General features: G+C 41.7%; 2 protein-coding genes across 3 annotated transcripts in view; one reads left to right on the forward strand and one right to left on the reverse strand.

The window, feature by feature from the left end:
* ZNF75D (zinc finger protein 75D) overlaps positions 350-23,832 on the reverse strand; it is a 95,521-nt gene continuing 72,038 nt past the window's right edge. Inside the window, exons 2-4 of the transcript NR_110381.2 lie at positions 7,216-7,538; positions 3,627-3,772; positions 350-1,062 (exon numbers count right to left, since the gene is read on the reverse strand). The gene's annotated coding sequence lies outside the window, so the exon portion shown is untranslated. The remainder of the gene's footprint in view (positions 1,063-3,626; positions 3,773-7,215; positions 7,539-23,832) is intronic.
* On the forward strand, positions 3,622-5,345 carry ETDA (embryonic testis differentiation homolog A). Of its 2 annotated transcripts, NM_001355522.1 has the most exons (3): positions 3,822-3,859; positions 4,328-4,565; positions 4,989-5,344. In NM_001355522.1, the coding sequence occupies exon 3, from the start codon at positions 5,038-5,040 to the stop codon at positions 5,215-5,217; it is 180 nt and encodes a 59-aa protein (NP_001342451.1). In that variant the 5' UTR covers positions 3,822-3,859; positions 4,328-4,565; positions 4,989-5,037; the 3' UTR covers positions 5,218-5,344. The 2 variants fall into 2 exon arrangements, with proteins under 2 accessions (XP_024308092.2, NP_001342451.1); XM_024452324.2 differs by lacking the exon at positions 4,328-4,565 and having other exon boundaries at positions 3,622-3,859; positions 4,989-5,345.

A 23,832-nucleotide genomic window follows, 5' to 3' on the forward strand; every position in this document is an offset into this window, starting at 1 on the left:
TTATTCCTCCCACTTAAATTGGCTGCATTCCTTGTATGTCTCACCTCCCCACACCCTTACCTGTGCTATCTGGGACTCCCTCCCAAGTAAGTGTTTTCCACTCACAAGTGTGCCTCAGGGTCTATTTCCAGGGAACCCACACTTGAACACCTTGTATGCTAATTTATCCTCGAACTTGAATGTCTGGCTAGAAGTAGAATTGTAGGCTCAAAGTTATTTTGCACCAACACTTGAAAGACCATTCGTTATTTCCTGGGCATTTCTGGTTACCTCTTTAGCTGCCTTTCTTTTTTTCTCAATTTAAGAAGTATATCTCTTGCGAGAATTCCCTCCCCACTCTGCAAGCCACTCTCATTTTAAATTTATTTGATTTCAATTTCTACCCATGCTCTCCCCCAAACTTCAAGGGAGACAAATCAAGACCTCTAAGTGGGCTCCTGAAAGTCCCCTCCCCCTAGAAATTTAGGGTTGCAGGGCCTCTCCATGTTCCACTCAGCTGCCCTTCCAGCTTCTCTAAGCAGGGCCCCTCGTGTCTCCAACATCCCCAGACTCTACAACGTTAGTAAACACCTTCTCGGAGGGCAGTAGGTAAAGTTCATCTGCTGTGGCCTCGGGTAACACAGAGACGGGTCAGAAGTCAAGAAACCAGGTGATCAAAGACCATGTCCAGCCAAAAGCAGTGAGAACACAGCTTCCACTTGTAATGGTTGCATCAGGGGAAGGATTTATTGATCCACACCATTTTCTTGGATTTTCCATCCTCCCCAGGGGGCAGAGGTGGGTTGATTGTGTGGCGTGTCGGCAAAGGCCAGGTCCACCCTGGTATGGCTTGCTTCAGTGTCCACAGCCACTCTGTCAGATCCGCATCGTTTCTATGATTCCCAAGCTGTCTACTGAGTAAAACGCTCAGCACCGATTTAGAGGCCAGGCTGGGTCTTAAGTATTCATCCACCTTCCTCCTGATGCTCCATGCAGATGTGCTGGGACCTACTTCAGAGTGTCCCTGAGCCATGACTGCTTGACTCCACAGATGGCTTCAGGAAGACAGCACAGAAGAGGGACCTGTGAAAGTTGATAGAATCTAGAATTACCTGAAGGAGAAGCATCAAGTAGCCCCAGAAGCCTCTCTGCACTTCTCCTCCCTAACACACATGCGTGCATGTGCACACACACACACACAATCATAAAAGTCAGCTTTGTGGCAACTTGTGATTTTTAAATTTCTTTGAGTTTCACATATGCATGAGTATATTTCTAGAATCTCTTCGTTGGTCCATGGACATGTCTATCAATTCTTGTCTCATTCACCAATACTACAGAGTAAGTTTTGAGTCCAGAATGACAAGCCACCCCTCTTGCATAATCCTTCACATTTTTTTGGAATATAATTTCATCCGATCTTCCAGTTACACACACACTCAAAATTCTGCTATAAACTATCATTAGGATTGTACTGGATATACTGATTTATTTAGAGGCGAATTGATGCCATTGAAAAAATTGATCTTCCTCTTAAGAAAAATGTAGTATTTTAAAATATTATGTGACTATTCAAACTGAAGGCTCATAAAAAGTGGCATGTGTGTTTTCCTTGTATTTACCTTCATTATTTTTCTAGGTGTTTCATAACGTTTGCAACCAATGTAAATGGGATAGCTTAAATCTATGATATTCCCTATTTATTGGAAGACTGTGCAAATTTTTAATTTATTTATGTATTCATTTATTTTTATTGTAGAGATGGGGTCTCCTTATGTTGCCCAGGCTGGTCTTGAACTCCTGGGCTCAAGCGCTCCACCCCGCTCAGCCTTCCAAAGTGCTGGGATTATAGGCGAGAGCCACTGTGCCTCACCTAGTATGCAAAGTTTTTACGCATTTAACTTCTATCAATCAGCCTCTCCTGACCTATTTCCTAGGTGATTGCCTTGGATTTCTAGGATGTCAGTTCCTTAAGAGAAAGATAGTTTTCCACTTTCTTTGTTAACAAAATACACCGATAAGTTATCTTCCCTCTCCAAATTGTTTAGGACAATGAATATGGCCTCAGGGTCTTTACACGGTTCTATGTGGCCAGGAGAAAACCTGCGGGACTGAGCGTTCCTTCCCTGCCACTCAAGAAAGGGAGTGTGTGACCTGGGTCGCTTTAAAAAAAAAATTTTTTTAAACATGCTATGTATAGAAAGGAAATGTAGCTCCAGTTCAATGAAAATTTTCACAAACGGTGAGTATTGACCTATTTAAGGAACAGACAGTGCCAAAAAGATTCTGACACTGACTTATGTATTTAGACTCTGGCCCTGCAGAGCTACATCTCATCCTTGCATCTACAGGGCTGCTTATGGCAATCACCATGACTCTCTGCCTTAGGGGCTTTTTGCCTTACAGTTGGAACATGCTGGATATGACCCAAGGCCAACTGGAGGTCTTGAACTCCTGGGCTCAAGCGATCCACTCCCCTCAGCCTTCCAAAGTGCTGGGATTATAGGTGAGAGCCACTGTGCCTGACCTAGTATGCAAAGTTTTTATGCATTTAACTTCTCTCAATCAGCCTCTCCTGGTCTATTTCCTAGGTGATTGACTTGGATTTCTAGGATGTCAATTCCTTAAAAGAAAGACAGTTTTCCACTTTCTTTGTTAATAAAATACACCAATATGTTCTCTTCCCTCTCCAAATTGTTTAGAACACTGAACACGGCCTCAGGGTGTTCAGAACCATGTAAAGCATGGTTCTACGGGGGCTAGGAGAAAACCTGGAGGAGTGAGCCTTCCTTCCCTGCCACTCAAGAAAGGGAGTGTGCGACCTGGGTCACTTTACAGTAACGTCAATTTCCTCCGTTCTTACATAAGACTGAGTGGGCAGCCAGTGTGGAGGCAAGCCACATCTCATAATAGTCATTTTAGTTCCTCATGAGAACCACACTACAAAAAACACAAAGCGCTGTCCTCACCGTTATCCCTCTGACAGCCTGGAAAATCCATGTCCAGCATCTAGACAATACCCACATGGGTCACACTTTAATGGCAACAATGTAGTTATTCTAGATCAGAGACTTGGAAGGGAATATGGCTTGAGACATATGAGTATGTCTCAAGGAACTGGTCCAGTTTTAGCATAAGATTTTCCAAAGCATTAAAAGCCCACCTGCATCCCAGGTCCACAGAATAAAGGTGTGAAGCTGCACTGCATTGAGCTTTGGGAGGGGCTCCACTGCACTGAGCTTTGGGAGGGTTTAGATAAGTGTGGGAGACACAGCAATGTTTAATTGCAGTGTTCAATTTCTGCAACTAAACACTCCATTTACATGAATTGTGTATTATAGGAGGAGTACTTGCAGAGTCATGACCAAAGATGGATGCAAGATTGAGAAGCAGGTAGGAAGTTTGACCTGGAACTAATTCCTGGATTGGAACATGGCGGACAAAGTTGCTGATCACTACCCAGGGGACAAGGCAAGATGCAATGGGTGCTGTTTATTTACAGAAAGGAGAAATTTTAATGGATTTTATACAAGCCAGGAACAAGCTCTGAGGCCAGGGTAGTTGAGGGTTCTGTCTAGGAAGGAGACATGCAGATGGCACCCAGCCACAGGATATACCCACCTCCTCTCCCAGCAACTTCCACTCACCTTATTCAGGCTTGAACCAGAAGGAAGCCAGGCATGGTGGCCAGTGTTTGAATCTTGCAGACTGTTGGCACTAGGTTCTGAGGACAATTGTGAGTCACCATAGTGACTATGACTTCACTTGGTGCTGAACCAATCAGGCCCTGGGACTCAAGGAAAGAGAGGGAGTGCCAAGCTGTTACTGTTTACCCTCTGGCCCAGATCTTTCTTCAGAAGAAACCTGAGTGGTCTCACAGGTAAAATATCCTGATATACCAAGATCATAGAGCATCCTTTTGTGCCATTAACTAACTAACCTACCTGATAAACCCCAACCCTGTTTGGTAATGGGGGGAGGTTATCAAAGAGTCATTTGTTCAAACTGATACAGAGACACTACAGAGCAGTGGGTAAAAGCAGAAGCTTCAGATACAGGCTTTCTCAGTTCCAATCTCACCTCTCTGTCACTTGGGCAAGTCTTTTAGTCTCTCTTGGGAGGTCAAAATAGAGAACACAGTGAGCATCCACCCCTAGCCTTGGCACTGTGCTAGATTCAAATGAAATGCAGAACTGGGTTTTTGGGGATGAGGCAGGGCCAGGCATCAGAGGTGAGTACAATCTTTAAGCCACTGTGATTACGTTCCCAGGATGGAAAATCAGCAGGATGGACCTTAGAAACAGAAACTCGGTAGTACTTGAGAATGTCCAGTTTATCTCTTACACAGGGGTTTGGAGTAAGATTCATACCTGCTTCACCAGTGATTTTCAAAGGAGGCAAATCCTATTTGAAGCTAAAGTCACATAAAGAGATTTGGAATGAGGAAACAAATTATAGCAGCCTGCAAGTTGTAGAATGAAGAAATGCAAATGTAAAGTACTGAACTTTGTCATGGATAGATTTACCAAAGAGAATTACTCTGCATAACATGAATAATGGAGTTCAGAAGGAAGCCCATATCCCAGGTACAGGGAAAACTCAGAGGTGAGAAGAGGCAGCTCTGAAAAAGAGCAACATAGAATTGAGTTAAAATTAGTGTGGATATAAGAATTACAATGACATTTGAGCTATGAGGTAGTGTTTTGAGTACAATCTAACAAGCCTGTGTGTGTCAGGTAATGATTAGAGGGATGCAATAGTGTGTCTTTAATGTCCCGGGTCCCATCAGGCTGCTGCACAGCCCCATGTGTAAGACAGATAGAAGAAACAATATGGTTGGTGCTTCAAATCAGATGATGACCCAAAGCAATCTCCTGTGACTACTGCTGGTAGCAGTGTGTGTGTGTATGGGGGTGTGTGTGTGTGTGTGTGTGTGTGTGTGGTTTTGTGCCAGTGAGGAAGAGGTTGCCGGGTACACTTGATTACCTAGAATACATCATCTTTTTCAGACTTCCTCGGTTGTGCTGTTTTACTGAGGTTGGGTGGAGTCAACACATCATGGATAAAGAAGTCCCTAAAGGCAGTCCCAGGGAGCCCGCACTGAACATCAAGAAGTCAGACAAATCCTTCAAACGCAAGAAGCCCACCGAAAATGTGCTGATCTTTTTAATCAACAGACAACTGGGCAGGCACAGAAGTGACATCGACCTGTCAAGATGGGTGTGGATGCTGTCATAAAGCAACTCTAGGGTGGACATGGCCTTGGACAAAAAGTCATGTGGCTTACGTGCTGAAGCCTGCCCATATTTTTGAGAAATTAAATATAATTAGAACAATAAACTCCTCCCATGTTTGAGTCATTAAAACAGAGTCTGTCATTTCACTCCTTGAGGTTGGATGTGTGTTTGCTGACAGGGTGTTCTTGGGTTACACTGGAAGGGGCTTCTGTTCATCCTAACACGCTGTGCAGGGGTGCTTAGACCCAGGGGAGAGGGTGAGATCATGCTGCACACCAGATCTCTCCCACCATCAATCTGAAAAACACTGCAAAGTCAAAGTGATGTAGTACTTGGCATTTAAGGACCAAAGACTCTTCTCCCTAGCCATTTTGAAGAGACTGCCCTGGTGTTCCCCTCTAAAACCCAATGCTTGTCCTAGTGAAAAGACATTGTTTAAGAGCAGACCAACAGTTGGCCTGGGGGTTTGGGATATGTTTTAATACTGCCAATGTCATATCCACAGAGCCTTCCAGAGGCAACCGCTCTGCCCTTTGTCCCCAGGAAAGTATAGAATGCTCTGGTCACTTTTTTGTGTCATGTCAAACAAACCTGCTCAGGCCACAGCCAAAGATAATTCATTTGACTGAAATGAAGCCACCTGGTAGGACAACAACACACATGAGATGGCTCCCATTGAAGAAGCTCTGTCCCCAAGGAATGTGCTGAGCAAGTCAGATACTCATTCTGAGAAACCTGAAATGGGAACTATGTGGGCAATTGGTCACTGACAAGTGAGAGTTAAAGCTGAAGAGGGGACAGGGAGAGCAAAGAGGTCAGAGCCGTGGCAAACATGGGCAAGCCTAAGTGAGGAGTAAGATGAAATTTACATAAGGTGAACCATTAAAGCCATCACAGATTCCAAGCATTTCTCTTGTCCTTTCACGTGAGCTGCAAAATAAGCCCCTGCAAGCAGTCCTCTGTCCCCTCTTCCCCTCCTCCCCAATTCCCTGTGTTCTCACAACCTGTCCAGCATTCCCCAAGGCCCCTTCCTGTGTCCCCTCCCCCGCCTACATCTAAGGGGCTGTTACTCTCTCTTCCCTTAGCCAGGTCTCTTCCAGATTTTTTATGTGGTACGAAGTTAAACTGCTCTATGTCCTTTTCACTGTCCTCTTTGTCCCTGTCACCTTCTCTGTCCCTGCACTGATGCAGCATCGCCAAAAAAGAGCCACCAGCCTCTCCTCAGAGGACGCAGCTGGCTGTAGGATGGAGAGGAGGGGTTAGAGGCTGCCAGGTAGAGGGGCCTCCTGGGTGCACCGTTGGGAGGAACGCTGCCTGGACACTGCTATGTCGGTGACTATTTACCTGCAGCCCAGCATCAAACAGTGGCTGTGAGGTGGAGAATAGGTGGGGAATGGAGGCTGAAAGGGCAGCAGGTAGGGCAAGAAGGAGCCAAACCCACAGGAGCAGAGGCCAATAACAGCCAACCTCCTACACTCCATGGCCACACAACAGAAGAGACAGAATTTAGGATACAGAGTTATGTGTGGATAAATCTCACCATCATACTGAGTGAGAAAACAAGTAGCACAGAATTATGTACCAAAGAGAAACCCAACTGTGCCAAGCAGTACTTGGGTATATACATAGACAGTAAAGTTATCCAAACTAGAGCAGCAGCACATTCAAGTGGAACTCTGTCCACTTTCCGACTTGACTAGTGCCCCAAAACAATTGGTACCAACTATTTCCCATCTTGCAAGGAGTTGCCTAACAATGGAGGCCTGGTAAAGAAGGTAATCACAATCATGTGACCTCTGACCACTCACTCACCTACAGGTGTCTACTCACACTGGAAGTCTGGGTGGGTTGGAGACCAGAGAGGCATGCTTCCCAGGGATTGGAGGCTGTGCCGAGTTTAAACGAGGAAAACTTCCTACACTTCAAATTCACTGGAAGGTTGGGGCTACTCAGTGTTCACCTAGAGAACTTGACTTTTGTTTCCAGAAGTGACACTCACAAGGAAGAAATTCAGGAGGAAAGTGGCTGTAGGAGAGGGAGAGAAGATTTGGCCAAAATTCCTCTGAAGAGATTTTTCTCAGGAGATCTTAGTGGCGGCCAAATGTAACCTTCTCGGGACGGGGAAGGGGGTGGGAATCTGGATGCAGCTGACTCACAGGAATCAGAGGCTGACTGGAGACCATGCACACAGTGTCAGGAGACACTCTCTTCTTCTACTCTTTCATTTCTAGCTGCTGCCTCTCATTGCTCAAATCACTAACCAGACAGCCAGGAAGCCAAGGTGATGTCTTCCATGGTATCAGCCTTCTGGAACACACAGCCCTGCAGAGAAGCATATATCTAGTTGGACAAACTGAGAAGAATCAAATCAATTCACCACTTTTTTCTACTTCCATTACTGTTCCACCACTGTTGCTTTAATCAGAGGAATAAAACCCTTGCCCAACACATGGTAGCATACACAGTGTTGTGAGCCATCTTATCATAACAGATGAGGTCAATTTGATTATAATACCATGTGGAACCTAAGTTGTAACTCTAATGGTTACAAGAAAGTTTCCTACACATTCACATTGACTGGGTGAAGGGAAAGTCACCTTGGCAGGGGATAGATGAAGATGGCAGAATAGAAACCTACACCACTCATCCCATCTCCCTTCACTGGAACACCAGATTTTAACGACTATCTGCACACAAAAAACACTGCCACAAGAACCAAGAATTAGGTGAGCAATCACATCACCTGGTTTTAACTTCATATCACTGAAAGAGGCATTGCACAGGGCAAGAGAGGTAGTCTGGAACCACCAATGCTACCCCTCCTCCATCCACCAGCGTGGAGAGTCTGTGCACTTTGGGGAGGGAGAGTGCAGCAAGTGGGGGACTTTACCTTGAACTCAATGCTGCCCTATCACAGCTGAAAACAAATCCATGCAGGGTGCAGCCAGTGCCCACACACAGGTGTGTGTGTGGGGGGGTGCATTTGGACCAGCCCTCGCCAGAAGAATCACCCTTCCCATCAGTTGAAACTTGAGCTTCTTCTCAAGCCTCGCCACTGTGGGCAAAAGCGCTCTAGAGTCCTGTGTAAACTTAAAAGGCAGTCTAGGACACAACGACTGCAGTTTCTAAGGAAATCCTAGTGCTGGACTGGGCTTACAACCAGTGAACTCAGGTGGCACGTGACCTAGGGAGACAGCAGCTGACATGACTAGCGGAGCCCTTGTGCCATCCCTCCTCCAACCCCTGGTAGTGCAGCTCATAGCAATTAAAACGTCCCCTTACTTCTGCTTAAGGAGAGGAGAGTGAATAAAGGTAGTCCTTTATAGCAGTATAAAAATGGACTAACACATTAAAGGGGACATTATGTTGCATCTTTGATACCAGCTGAATCACAGTAGAATAGGGCACTGGGCAGAGTTGTAAGGCTCCTTTTCCAGGCCCTAGCTCCTGGGCGACATTTCTAGATGCACACTAGGCCAGAAGGGAGCCCATTGCCTTGAAGGAAAGGACCCAGTCCTGGCAGGACCTATCACCTGCTGACTAAAGAGCCCTTGGGCACTGAATAACACCCAGCGAGATGCAGGGAGTAAGCCATGGGCCTTGGGCTCTGAGGCGTGCTGACTTCAGGGATGACCCAGCGTCCTCCCAGCTATGGTGAAGGACTCCTTCCATTTGAAACAAGAACAGAGAAAAGTAAAGGGGACTTTGTATTAGACCCTAAGTACCAGCTCAGCCAGTGCAGTAGAGCAAGAAGCAGGCTGTTGGGGTCCTCGAGTCCAGGCCTCAGCTCTTAGCATTTCTGGACCCGCCCTGGGCCATACGGGAGCCCACTGCCCTGCAGAGTGAGCCCCAGGCCTGGTAGCATTCACTACAAGCTGATGGAAGAGCCCTTGGGCTTTAAGTGAACATCAGTGATGGCCTGACAGAACTCCCCATGGACCAGTGGTGATGGTGGCCACAGGGAGAGACTCCTATACTTTTGCAAAGGGGAGGGAAGAGTGGGAAAACTGTATCGTAGTTGGAGCGCCAGCTTAGCTGCAGTCGAACAAAACAAAAGGTAAATTGCGAAGGTATTTTACTCTAATCCCTGGCTCCCAGACTGCATCTCTGGACATACCCAGAACCTGGGGGAACTCCCTGCCTTGAAGGGAATGACCTTGGGCAAGGCCCACTGCTGTGATGGCTTCACGTCAGGCCCAGTACAGTCCCAGTGGTGGTAGCCACAGAGGACTTGCATCACCACAAGCCAGTGCCAGGTGTTCAGCACAGAGCACCATACTCCATTTGCATGGCATCTGTTTCTGGAGGAGGGGAGGTCTCCGCATGGCAATCCAAGGAATTCTTAGAGATCTTTTATTATTATTATTATCATCATTATTATTATACTTTAAATTCTAGAATATATGTGCACAACATGCTGGTTTTATACATGTGCCATGCTGGTTTGCTGCACCCATCAACTCATCATTCACATTAGGTATTTCTCCTAACGCTATTCCTCCCGGAGCCCCCCCACCACCCAACAGGCCCTGGTGTGTGATGTTCCCTGCCCTGTGTCCAAGTGATCTCATTGTTCAATTACCACCTATGAGTGAGAACATGCAGTGTTTGGTTTTCTGTCCTTGTGATACTTTGCTGAGAATGATGGTTTCCAGCTTCATCCATGTCCCTACAAAGGACATGAACTCATCATTTTTTATGAATGCATAGTATTCCATGGTGTATAATCCAGTCTATCATTGATGGACATTTGGACTGGTTCCAAGTCTTTGCTATTGTGAATAGTGCTGCAATAAACATACGTGTGCATGTGTCTTTATAGTAGCATGATTTATAATCCTTTGGGTATATACCCAGTAATGTGATTACTGGGTCAAATGGTAATTCTAGTTCTAGATCCTTGAGGAATCGCCACACTGTCTCCCACAATGGTTGAACCAATTTACACTCCCATCAACGTGTAAAAGTGTTCCTATTTCTCCACATCCTCTACAGCATCTGTTGTTTCCTGACTTTTTAACGATTGCCATTCTAACTGGTGTGAGATGGTATCTCATGGTGGTTTTGATTTGCATTTCTCTGATGACCAATGATGAGGAGCTTTTTTTCATGTCCCTGTTGGCTGCATAGATGTCTTCTTTTGAGAAGTGTCTATTCATATCCTTTGCCCACGTTTTGATGGGGTTGTTTGTTTTTTTCTTGCAAATTTCTTTGAGTTCTTTGTAGATTCTGGATATTAGCCCTTTGTCAGATGAGTAGATTGCAAAAATTTTCTCCCATTCTGTAGGTTGCCTGTTCACTCTGATGGTAGTTTCTTTGCTGCACAGAAGCTCTTTAGTTTAATTAAATCCCATTTGTATATTTTGGCTTTTGTTGCCATTGCTTTCGATGTTTTAGTCATGAAGTCCTTGCCCATGCCTATGTCCTGAATGGTATTGCCTAGGTTTCCTTCAAGGGTTTTTACGGTTTTAGGTCTAATATTTAAGTCTTTAACCCATCTTGAATTAATTTTTGTATAAGGTGTAAGGAAGGGATCCAGTTTCAGCTTTCTACATATGGCTAGCCAGTTTTCCCAGCACCATTTATTAAATAGGGAATCCTTTCCCCATTTCTTGTTTTTGTCAGGTTTGTCAAAGATCAGATGGTTGTAAATGTGTGGCGTTATTTCTGAGGGCTCTGTTCTGTTCCATTGGTCTATATCTCTGTTTTGGTACCAGTACCATGCTGTTTTGGGTACTGTAGCCCTGTAGTACACTTTGAAGTCAGGTAGTGTGATGCCTCCAGCTTTGCTCTCTTGGCTTAGGATTGTCTTGGCAATGCAGGCTCTTTTTTGCTTCCATATGAACTTTAAAGTAATTTTTTCCAATTCTGTGAAGAAAGTCATTGGTAGCTTGATGGGGATGGCATTGAATCTATAAATTACTTTGGGCAGTATGACCATTTTCACGATATTGATTCTTCCTATCCATGAGCATGGAATGTTCTTCCATTTGTTTGTGTCCTCTTTTATTTCCTTCACCAGTGGTTTCTAGTTCTCCTTGAAGAGGTCCTTCACATCCCTTGTAAGTTGTATTCCTAGGCATTTTATTCTCTTTGTAGCAATTGTGAATGGGGGTTCATTCATGATTTGGCTCTCTGTTTGTCTTAATGGTGTATAGGAATGCTTGTGAGTTTTGCACATTGATTTTGTATCCTAAGATTTTGCTGAAGTTGCTTATCAGCTTAAGGAGATTTTGGACTGAGACGATGGGGTTTTCTAAATATACAATCATGTCATCTGCAAACAGGGACAATTTGACTTCCTCATTTCCTAATTGAATACCCTTTATTTCCTTCTCTTGCCTGATTGTCCTGGCCAGAACTTCCAACGCTATGTTGAATAGGAGTGGTGAGAAAGGGCATACTTGTCTTGTGCCGGTTTTCAAAGGGAATGCTTCCAGTTTTTGTCCATTCAGTATGATATTGGCTGTGGGTTTGTCATAAATAGCTCTTATTATTTTGAGATACGTTCCATCAGTACCTAGTTTATTGAGAGTTTTTAGCATGAAGGGCTGTTGAATTTTGTCAAAGGCCTTTTCTGCATCTCTTGAGATAATCATGTGCTTTTTGTTGTTGGTTCAGTTTATGTGATGAATTACATTTATTGATTTGCATATGTTGAACCAGCCTTGCATCCCAGGGATGAAGCCCACTTGATCATGACAGAGAAGCTTCTTGATGTGCTGCTGGATTCAGTTTGCTAGTATTTTATTGAGGATTTTCGCATAGATGTTCATCAGGGATATTGGTCTAAAATTTTCTTTTTTTGTTGTGTCTCTGCCAGGCTTTGGTATCAGGGTGATGTTGGCCTCATAAAATGAGTTAGGGAGGATTTCCTCTTTTTCTATTGATTGGAATAGTTTCAGAAGGAATGGTACCAGCTCCTCTTTGTACCTCTGGTAGAATTCGGCTGTGAATCCGTCTGGTCCTGGCCTTTTTTTGGTTGGTAGGCTATTAATTATTGTCTCAATTTCAGAGCCTGTTATTGGTCTATTCAGAGACTCAACTTCTTCCTGGTTTGGTCTTGGGAGGGTGTATGTGTCCAGGAATTCATCCATTTCTTCTAGATTTTCTAGTTTATTTGCATAGAGCTGTTTATAATATTCTCTGATAGTAGTTTGTATTTCTGTGGGATCGGTGGTGATATCCCCTTTATCATTATATTTTATTGTGTATATTTGATTCTTCTCTCTTTTCTTCTTTATTAGTCTTGCTAGCGGTCTATCAATTTTGTCAATCTTTTCAAAAAACCAGCTCCTGGATTCATTGATTTTTTTGAAGGGTTTTTTGTGTCTCTATCTCCTTCAGTTCTGCTCTGATCTTAGTTATTTCTTGCCTTCTGCTAGCATTTGAATTTGTTTGCTGTTGCTTCTCTAGTTCTTTTAATTGTGATGTTAGGGTGTCGATTTTATCTTTCCTGCTTTCTCCTGTGGGCATTTAGTGCTATAAATTTCCCTCTACACACTGCTTTAAATGTGTCTCACAGATTCTGGTATGTTGTGTCTTTGTTCTCATTGGTTTCAAAGAACATCTTTATTTCCGCCTTCACTTCGTTATTTACCCAGTAGTCATTCAGGAGCAAGTTGTTCAGTTTCCATGTAGTTGTGTGGTTTTGAGTCAGTTTCTGAATTCTGAGTTCTAATTTGATTGCACTGTGGTCTGAGAGACAGTTTGTTGTGATTTCTGTTCTTTTACATTTGCTGAGCAGTGCTTTACTTCCACCTATGTGGTCAATTTTAGAGTAAGTGTGATGTGGTGCTGAGAAGAATGTATATTCTGTTGATTTAGGGTGGAGAGTTCTGTAGATGGCTATCAGGTTTGCTTGTTGCAGAGCTGAGTTCAGGTCCTGGATATCCTTGTTAACCTTCTGTCTTGTTGATCTGTCTAATATTGACAGTGGGGTGTTAAAGTGTCCCATTATTATTGTGTGGGAGCTAAGTCTCTTTGCAGGTCTCTAAGGACTTGCTTTATGAATCTGGGTGCTCCTGTATTGGGTTCATACATATTTAGGATAGTTAGCTCTTCTTGTTGAATTGATCCCTTTACCATTATGTAATGGCCTTCTTTGTCTCTTTTGATCTTTGTTGGTTTAAAGTCTGTTTTATCAGAGAGTAGGGTTGCAACCCCTGCTTTTTTTTGTTTTCCATTTGCTTGGTAGATCTTTCTCCATCCCTTTATTTTGAGCCTATGTGCGTCTCTGCACGTGAGATGGGTCTGCTGAATACAGCACACTGATGGGTCTTGACTCTTTATCCAATTTGCCAGTCTGTGTCTTTTAATTGGGGCATTTAGCTTATTTACCTTTAAGGTTAATATTGTTAAGTGTGAATTTGATCCTGTCACTATGATGTTCGCTGGTTATTTTGCCCGTTAATTGATGCAGTTTCTTCATAGCATCGATGGTCTTTACAATTTGGCATGTTTTTGCAGTGACTGGTACTGGTTGTTTTCATGTATAGTGCTTCCTTCAGGAGCTCTTGTAAGGCAGGCCTGGTGGTGACAAAATCTCTCAGTATTTGCTTGTCTGTAAAGGATTTTATTTCTCCTTCACTTATGAAGCTTAGTTTGGCTGGATATGAAATTCTGGATTGAAAATTCTTTTCTTTAGGAATGTTAAATGTTGGCCTCCACTCTCTTCTGGCTTGTAGGGTTTCTTCCGAGAGATCCACTGTTAGTCTGATGGGCTTCCCTTTGTGGGCAACCCGACCTTTCTCTCTGGCTGCCCTTAACACTTTTTCCTTCATTTCAACCTTGGTTAATCTGACAATTATGTGTCTTGGGGTTGCTCTTCTCCTGGAGTATCTTTGTGGTGTTCTCTGTATTTCCTGAATTTGAATGTTGGCCTGCCTTGCTGGGTTGAGGAAGTTCTCCTTGATAATATCCTGAAGAGTGTTTTCCAACTTGATTCCATTCTCCCCATCACTTTCAGGTACACCTATCAAACGTAGATTTGGTCTTTTCACATAGTCCCATATTTCTTGGAGGCTTTGTTTGTTTCTTTTTACTTTTTTTTCTCTAACCTTGTCTTCTTGCTTTGTTTCATTAATTTCTTTTTCAATCACTGATACCCTTTCTTCCACTTGATCGAATTGGTATTGAAGCTTGTGCATAAATCACGAAGTTCTCATGCCATGGTTTTCAGCTCCATCAGGTCATTTAAGGTCTTCTCTACACTGTTTATTCTAGTTAGCCATTCGTCTAATCTTTTTTCAAGGTTTTTAGCTTCCTTGCGATGGACTCAAACATCCTCCTTTAGCTTGGAGAAGTTTGTTATTACTGACCTTCCCAAGCCTACCTTTGTCAACTCATCAAATCATTCTCCATCCAGCTTTGTTCTGTTGTTGGCGAGGAGCTGCCATCCTTTGGAGGAGAAGAGGTGCTCTGAGTTTTAGAATTTTCAACTTTTCTGCTCTGCTTTCTCCCCATCTTTGTGGTTTTATCTACATTTGGTCTTTGATGTTGGTGACCTACAGATGGGATTTTGGTGTAGATGACCTTTTTGTTAATGTTGTTGCTTTTCCTTTCTGTTTGTTAGTTTTCCTTCTAACAGTCAGGCCCCTCAGCTGCAGGTCTGTTGGAGTTTGCTGGAGTTCCACTCCAGACCCTGTTTGCCTGGGTATCACCAGCGGAGGCTGAAGAACAGCAAATATTTCAGAACAGCAAATATTGCTGCCTGATCCTTCCTTTGGAAGCTTCATCCCAGAGGGGTAGACGCCTACACGAGGTGTCTGTCGGCCCCTACTGGGAGGTGTCTCCCAGTTGGGCTACACAGGGGTCAGCAACCCACTTGAGGACATAGTCTGTCCATTCTCAGAGCTCAAACACTGTGCTGGGAGAACCACTGCTCTCCTCAGAGCTGTCAGACAAGGATGTTTAAGTCTGCAGAAGTTGTCTGCTGCCTTTTGTTCAGCTAAGCCCTACCCACAGAGGTGGAGTCTAGAGGTAGTAGGCCTTGTTGAGCTGCAGTGGGCTCGTCCCAGTTTGAGCTGCCCCTGCCACTTTGTTTACCTACTCAAGCCTCAGCAATGGCGGACGCCCCTCCCCTAGCCAGGTTGCTGTTTCGCAGATCGAACTCAGACTGCTGGGCTAGCAGTAAGCAAGGCTCCGTGGGTGTGGGACCCGCCAAGCCAGGCACAGGAGAGAATCACCTTGTCTGCCAGTTGCTAAGACCTTGGGAAAAGTACAGTATTTGGGCAGGGAGTGTCCCGTTTTTCCAGATAGTCTGTCACAGCTTCCCTTGGCTAGGAAAAGGAAATCCCCTGACCCCTTGTGCTTCCTGGGTGAGGCGACACCCCGCCCTGCTTCAGCTCGCCCTCTGTGGGCTGCACCCACTGTCCAACCAGTCCCAGTGAGATGAAACAGGTACCTCAGTTGGAAATGTAGAAATCACGCATCTTCTGAGTCGATCACGCTGGGAGCTGCAGACCGAAGCTGTTCCTATTTGGCCATCTTGGAACGCCCCCTCAGAGATCTTATCTAAGACCACCAAGGTGGTGCCTCTATGAGTCTTCATCCCTTCAAATTCCTTAGAATGGTGTGTTAGTTCATTTTCACACTGCTATAAAGAGCTACCTGAGACTGGGCAATTTATGAAGAAAAGAGGATTAATTGACTCACAGTTCTTCAGGCTTAACTGGAAACGTGACTTGGAGGCCTCAGGAAACTTACACTCATAGCAGAAGGGGAAGCAAGCACATGGTGGAGCAGGAGAGACAGACAGCAAAGGAGGGAGTGCCACACATTTTTAAACCATCAGATCTCATGAGAACTCACTATCACGAGAAGAGCAGGGGCAAAATCCGCCCCCATGATCCAATCACCTCCCACAAGGCCCCTCCTTTAACATGTGGCTATTACAATTCAACATGACGTGTGGGTGCGGCCACAGAGCCAAACCATAATAAATGCCTTCCCCAGAAGGACAAGCACAAACAAGCCCAGTCTGCATAGACTACAATGAATACCTAACTTTGCAATGCCTAGACACAGATGAACATCTACAAGCATCAACACCATCCAGAAAAACAAGACCTAAACAAATGAACTAAATAAGGCAGCAGGGACCAATTCATGAGAAACAGAGATATGTGGCATTTCAGACAAAGAATTAAACATTAGCTGTTTTGAGAAAAATAAATTCAAAATAACACAGAGAAGGAATTCAGAATTCTAGCAGATAAATTTCACAAAAGATTGAAATAATTAAAAAAGAATGAAGCAGAAATTCTAGAGTTGAAAAATGCAAATGACATCATGAAGAATGCATCAGTCTCTTAATAGCAGAATTTATCAAGCAGAAGAAATAATTAGTGAATCTGAAGACAGGATGTTTGAAAATACATAATCAGAGGAGACAAAAGAAAAAATAATAAAAAACAGTGAAGAATGCCTACAGGATCTAGAAAATAGCCTCAAAAGAACAAATCTAAGAGTTATTGGCCTTAGGCCGGGAGCAGTGTCTCACGCCTGTAATCCCAGCACTTTGGGAGGCCAAGGCGGGCAGATCACGGGGTCAGAAGTTCGAGACCAGCCTGGCCAAAATGGTGAAACCCCATCTCTACTAAAAATACAAAAATTAGCCAGGTGTGGTGGCATGTGCCTGTAATCCTAGCTACTCGGGAGGCTGAGGCAGAGGAATCGCTTGAACCCGGGAGGCAGAGGTTGCAGTGAGCTGAGTTCACGCCATTACACTCTAGCCTGGGCAACAAGAGTGAAACTCTGTCTCAAAAAAAAAAAAAAAGAGTTATTGGCCTTAAAGAGGATGTAGAAAGAGAGACAGGGGTAGAAAGTTCATTCAAAGGGGTAATATCAGAGAATTTCTCAAAGGTAGAGAAGAATGTCAACATCCAAGTACAAGAAGGCTATAGAACACCAAGCAGGTTTAACCTAAAGAAGACTACCTCAAAGCATTTAATAATCAAGCTCTCAGAGGTCAAATATAAAGAAGGGATCCTATACACAGCAAGAGAAAAGAAACAAATAACGTACAATGGAGTGCCAATACATCTGGAAGCAGACTTTTCGATGGAAACCTTATAGGCCAGGAGACAGTGGCATGACATATTTAAAGTGGTAAAGGAAATAAAGTTTTACCCTAGAATAAAAGCACATAGGCAAAACTGTCCTTTAAGCATGAAGAAGAAATAAAGACCTTCCCAGACAAACAAAAGCTGAGAGACTTCATAAACACCAGGCCTCTACTACAGGAAATACTAAACAGAGTTCTTCAATCTGAAAGAAAATGATGGTAATGAGCAAGAAGAAAACATCAGCAGGTACAAAACTCACTGGTATTAGTAAGCTCACAGAAAAACATAGACTACTATAGCACCGTAATTGTGTTATGTAAACTACAGTTGACATAAGTAGAAAGACTAAATGATGAATGAAAGAAAATAATAACTGCAACAACTTTTCAAGACAGGGACAGTAGAATAAGACATAACAAGAAACAATAAAAACTTAAAAAGCAGAGGGATGAAGTTAAAGTGTTGAATTATTATTAGTTTTCTTTTTGCATGCTTGCTTGTTTATGCAATCAGTATTAAGTTCTCATCAGTTCAAAATAATGGGTTATAAGATAGTATTTTTGAGCCTCATGGTAACCTCAAATCAAAAAACATATAACACATACACAAAAATAAAATGCAAGAAATTAAAACATACACCAGAGAAAATCACCTTCACTAAGAGGAAGACAGGAAGGAAAGAAAGAAGGAAGAGAAGACCACAAAACAACCAGAAAACAAATAACAAAATTGCAGAAGTAAGTTCCTATTTATCAATAATAACAATGAATGTAAATTGGCTAAACTCTTCAATCAAAAGACATAGAGTAGCTGAATGAATGAAAAAACAAGACCCAATCATCTGTTGCCTGCAAGAAACATACTTCACTCATAAATATACACACAGACTGAAAATAAAAAGATGTAAAAAGATATTCCACGCCAGTTGAAGCCCAAAAAGAACAAGAGTAGCCACACTTGTATTGGACAAAAGAGGTTTCAGGGAAAACCCTATAAAAAGAGACAAGGAAGGTCCTTATGTAATGATAAAGGGGTCAATTCAGCAAGAGCATATAAGGATTGTAAATATATATGCATCCAACACTGGAGCACCCAGATATGTAAGGCAAATATTATTAGAGATAAAGAAATATATAGACCCCAATACAATTATAGCTGGAGACTTCAACATCCCAACTTCAGCATTAGACAGATCTCCCAGACTGAAAATCAACAAAGAAACATCAAAGTTAATCTGCACTATAGAACAAATGGACTTAATAGATATTTACAGAACATTTCATCCAATGGCTGCAGAATACAATCTTTTCCTCGACACATGGATCATTCTCAAGGGTAGGTCACAAAACAAGTCTTAAAACAATCATAAACATTGAAAAAATATCAAGCATCTTTTCTGACCACAATGGAATAAAACTAGAAATCAACAAGAAGATGAATTTTTGAAATTATACCAACACATGGAAATTAAACAGCATACCCATGAATGACCAGTGGGTCAATGAAAGAATAAAGAAGGAAATTGAAAAATTTCTTGAAAAAATGATAATGGAAGCCCAACATACCAAAACATATGGGATATAGCAAAATCAGTACCAAGAGGGAAGTTTATAGCTATAAGTGCCTATATCAAAAAAGAAGAAAAACTTCAAATAAGTAACCTAATGATGCATCTTAAAGAACTAGAAAAGCAAGAGCAAACTGAACCCAAAATTATAATAACAGAAATAATAAAAAGCAGAGCATAAATAAACGAATGTGAAAAATGAAGAAAACAATACAAAAGACCAATGAAACAAAAGCTCAGTTTTTTTAAAAGATAAACAAAATTGGCAAACCTTTAGCCAGACTGGCTAAGAAAAAAATGGAGAAGACCCAAATAAATAAAATCAGAGATGAAAAGGGAGAGATTACAACTGATACCACAGAAATTCAAAAAATCATTAATGGCTACTATGAACAACTATTTGCCAATACATTGAAAAATCTAGAAGAAATGAATAAACTGCTAGACATATCCAACCTACAAAGATTAAACAAGGAAGAAATCCAAAACCTGAGCAGATCAACAACAAGTAAGGAGCAAAAAGCTGTCAGGAAAAGTGTCCCAGCAAAGAAAAATCCAGGACACAATATTCCAGTGCTGAATTCTATCAAACATTTAAAGAAGAATTAATATCTCTTCTACTCAAAACTGTTCTGAAAAGTAGTGAAGGGAACACATCCAAACTCATTCTGCAAGACCAGTATTACCCTGATACCAAAACTAGACAAAGATACACCAAAAAAAAAAAAAACCTACAGACCAATATATCTGATGAGTATTAATGCAGAAATCCTCATCCAAATACCAGCAATCAGAATTCAACAATACATTAAAAAGATCACTCATCATGAACAAGTGGGATTTATCCCAGGGATTCAAGGATGATTCAACATATACAAATCAATCAACGTGATACATCACATCAACAGAATGAAGGACAAAAACATATGATCCTTTTGATTGATGTTAAAAGTGCATTTCATAAAGTCCATATTTCTTCATGGTAAAAATCCTCAAAAGCTGGATATAGAAGGAACATACTTCAGCATAATAAAAGCCATGTAGGACAAACCCACATCTAGTATGCTGAATGGGGAAAAATTGAAAGCCTTTCCTCTAAAATCTGAAACATGGCAAGGATGCCCAATGTCACCACTGTTATTCAACATAATAATGAAAGTCTTACCTAGGGCAGTCAGACAAGAGAAAGAAATAAAGGGCATTAAAATTGCAAGGGAAGAAGTCAAATCATACTTGTTTGCAGATAATATGATCTTATATTTGGAAAAAACTAAAAACTCCACCAAATAAGTATTAGGACTGATAAATTTATGAAAGTTGCACATTACAAAATCAATATACAAAAATCAGTAGCCTTTCTATATGCCAACAGTGAACAATATGAAGAAGTCAATAATTAGTCCCATTTACAATACTCAGAAATAAAATTAAATACCTAAGAATTAACCAAATAAGTGAAGCATGTCTATTATGAAAAGTATAACACAGTGATGAAAGCAATTGAAGACAACACAAAATAATAGAAAGATATTCCATGTTCATGGATTGGAAGAATAATATCATTAAAATGTCCATACTACCCAAGGCAGCCTACAGATTCAATGCAATCCCTATTAAAACACCAATGACATTCTTCACAAAAATAGAAAAAAAAAATCCTAAAATGTTTATGGAACCACAAAAGACCCAGAAGAGCCAAAGCTGTCCTGAGCAAAAAGAAGAAAACTACAGGAATCACATTACCTGACTTCAGATTATAATACAGAGCTATAGGAATCAAAACAGCATGGTACCGGCATAAACACAGACACATAGACCAATGTAACAGAACAGGGAACACAGAAGAAAATCCACAACACCTACAGTGAGCTCATTTTTGACAAAGGTGCCAAGAACATACACTGGGGAAAAGACAGTCTGTTCAATAAATGGTGCTCGGAAACCTGGATATCCATAAACTGAAGAATGAAACTAGACCCCCTATCTCTCACCATATACAAAAGTAAAATAAAAATGAATTAAAGACTTAAACTTAAGACCTCAAACTTGAAACTACAAACAAGAAAACATTGGGGGAAATCTCCAGGACGTTGGTCTGGGCAAAAATGTCTTGAGTAACAACCCACAAGCACAGACAACCAAAGCAAAAATGGACAAATGGGATCATATCAAGTGAAAAACCTTCTGCACAGCAAAAGAAACAACCAACAAAGGGAAGAGACAACTCACAGAGTAGGACAAAATTTTTGCAAAGTGCCCATCTGGCAAAGGATGAATTAACCAGAACATATAAGGAGCACAAAAATCTCTACAGGAAAAAATCAAATAATCCAGTTAAAAATGGACAAAAGATCTGAATAGACATTTCTTAAAACATACAAATGACAAAGAGACATATGAAAAGGTCCTCAACATCATTGATCATCAGAGAAATACCAATCAAAACTACATTTGGATATCATCTCACCACAGCTAACGTGTTATTTTTCCAGAAGTGAGGCAATAACAAATGCTGGTGAAGATCTGGAGAAGAGGGAACACTTCTACATCTTTGGTGGTAATATAAATTACTACAACTGCCATAGAACACAGTTTGAAGGATACTCAAAATACTAAAAATAGAGCTACCACAGGATCCAACAATTCCACTGCTGAGTATATACAGCAAATAAAATTAGTATATCAAAGAGATATCGGCACTCCCATGTTTATTGCCGCACTGGTCACAATAACTAAGATTTGGAAGCAACCTAAGTGTCCATCAACAGAAGAATGGATAAAGAAAATGTGGTACATAAACACAATGGATTACTATTCAGTCATAAAAAGAATGAGATTCTTTCATTTGCAACAACCTGGATAAAAGCGGAGGTCATTATGTTAAGCAAAGTAAGCCAGGCACAAAAAGATGAACATCACATGTTCTCATTTATGTATATGGTCTAAAAATCAAAACAATTGAACTCATGGATATAGAGAATAGAAGGATGGTTGCCAGAGGCTAGGAAATACAGTGAGGGAGCAGTGAGGGAGGTGGGGATGGTTAATGGGTACAAAAAAAAATAGAAAGCTAAATAAGACCTAGTATTTGATAGCACAACAGGGGGATCATAGTTGATAATAATTTAATTGTACATTTTAAAATAACTAAAATAGTATAACTGGATTGTTTATAACACAAAGAATAAATTCTTGAGGAGATGGATACCCAATTGTTCATGATGTAATTATTATACATTGCAGGCCTCTACCAAAATATCTCATATATATATATATATATATATATATATATATATATATATACACATATTTATACATACCTATATACATATATATTATGTACCCACAAAAATTAAAAATAAAAATAAAAAATATTTATCTTACCTCCCTCCCTGTAAAACCATTTCCTTATACTCTGCCAGCACCTGGAAATGTTGGTGGATGTGTACCCGGTGAAATAACCTAAGAATTTGTTGCTGAAAGATAGGAATCCTTGGAAGTGATACCATTATGGAATTGCATCAGTTTTTCATGGAATATTACAGCTGGACATGGGAGTGCTAGGTGGTGCCATACTAAATCCCTTTGGGTCCAGAACTAGTTCTCTTCCCCACATTAGGAAGCAACAAGCCAAACTCCCCATGGTCATCTGGATCCCTCACCCATTCAGGACAGTGACCCCTTCTCAACTCCCACTCTTGTTACCCAAAGACCTGAAAATGGGCAGGGGACAAGGAGTCAGTGTCGGTTTCCAAGATAATGGAACCGTGAATATGTTCCATGGGAGAGGCATCTTGCCTCGAATATTTTAACCTCCAAACCATCCAATTCCTATTTTGGGGAGAAGGAAAAGAGAAAATCTGTGAATCATTTTTTGGATATAAGAGTGGGAGAGGTCACTCTCTATCCCATCCTGGCTTTGCAGAATGGCTCCATAGGTTGCTTGTGAGTACAGAACTTGAGTTATATCCTATAGAACAGCCCTTCAACCTTGCAGGCTTCTGTTTCCTCTATAATGCTACAACTGAGTTTTCACCAGGCCGCTCTAGCACTGTATGAGGCCAGGTGTTTCTGGGTCATGGTAAGACTGGTAGATTTCACAGACCTGAGCTCATGTACCATCTTCAGTTGCCATAAAAAGAGTTACTGGACAAAGTAATGTTTTGAAGAAACAACGGTATTAGGGAGCTTGTTTGTAAGTCCAAGAATTGTGGCTCTCATAGCATGACTAATATGGATGAAGGCAAATCTATGTCGTGAATATATGTGTACTCTTTTGTGGGAAATTTAAAAAGCCATTCATGATGAATGCATGCTAGACACATAATGGGTGTTTGATAAATATTAAGGAGGTATTAAAATAGTGCCTCTCATTTGCAGATTTCTAGAAATGAATGAAAGTAAGCCAATGCCCTCTCTTCCTAGTCTCCTGAACCAGAAGTGACTTCTATTAATGTCTTGCAAAGCCAGTGACTCTGCAAAGATGAATGCTGGATATAATGATCTCAGCATTCTTTCACGAAAGACAAAATGGGAGTCACAGCATGTTCTGGTCACCTCCTATTCACCCCATTGTTGAAGGAAGGATTCCATACTCTAAATAACTCCAGATGGCTGAACACATATTACCCATCACTGAAGAGATCAGATTGGCAGCAGTTTGTTGGTCTCATATACTCACCACCCTGGGAGGAGGACATAGCACAACACAGAAGACCACAACTGGGTTGCACTTAGGAGCAAAGTGAACCAGTAAGTCCTATGGGAGGTACACTTTTTACTCACATGGTGATGGCATGCCTACCTTCTTGTTCCTATGGAAAGACATGATTGTTTTTTGTTGTTGTTTTGTTTTTAATCGCTTCAGTCTGGCAGAGAACTGAATCTCATTTGGTTGAGGACCAGAGAAAGTGCAGCTGATCTGGCTGACATGGGAACAAGCTGAATGGCTGCATTGCTTATTACCACCACATCCAGAATG

This window comes from Homo sapiens, chromosome X, assembly GCF_000001405.40.
Source record: "Homo sapiens chromosome X, GRCh38.p14 Primary Assembly".
Classification (NCBI taxonomy): domain Eukaryota; kingdom Metazoa; phylum Chordata; class Mammalia; order Primates; family Hominidae; genus Homo; species Homo sapiens.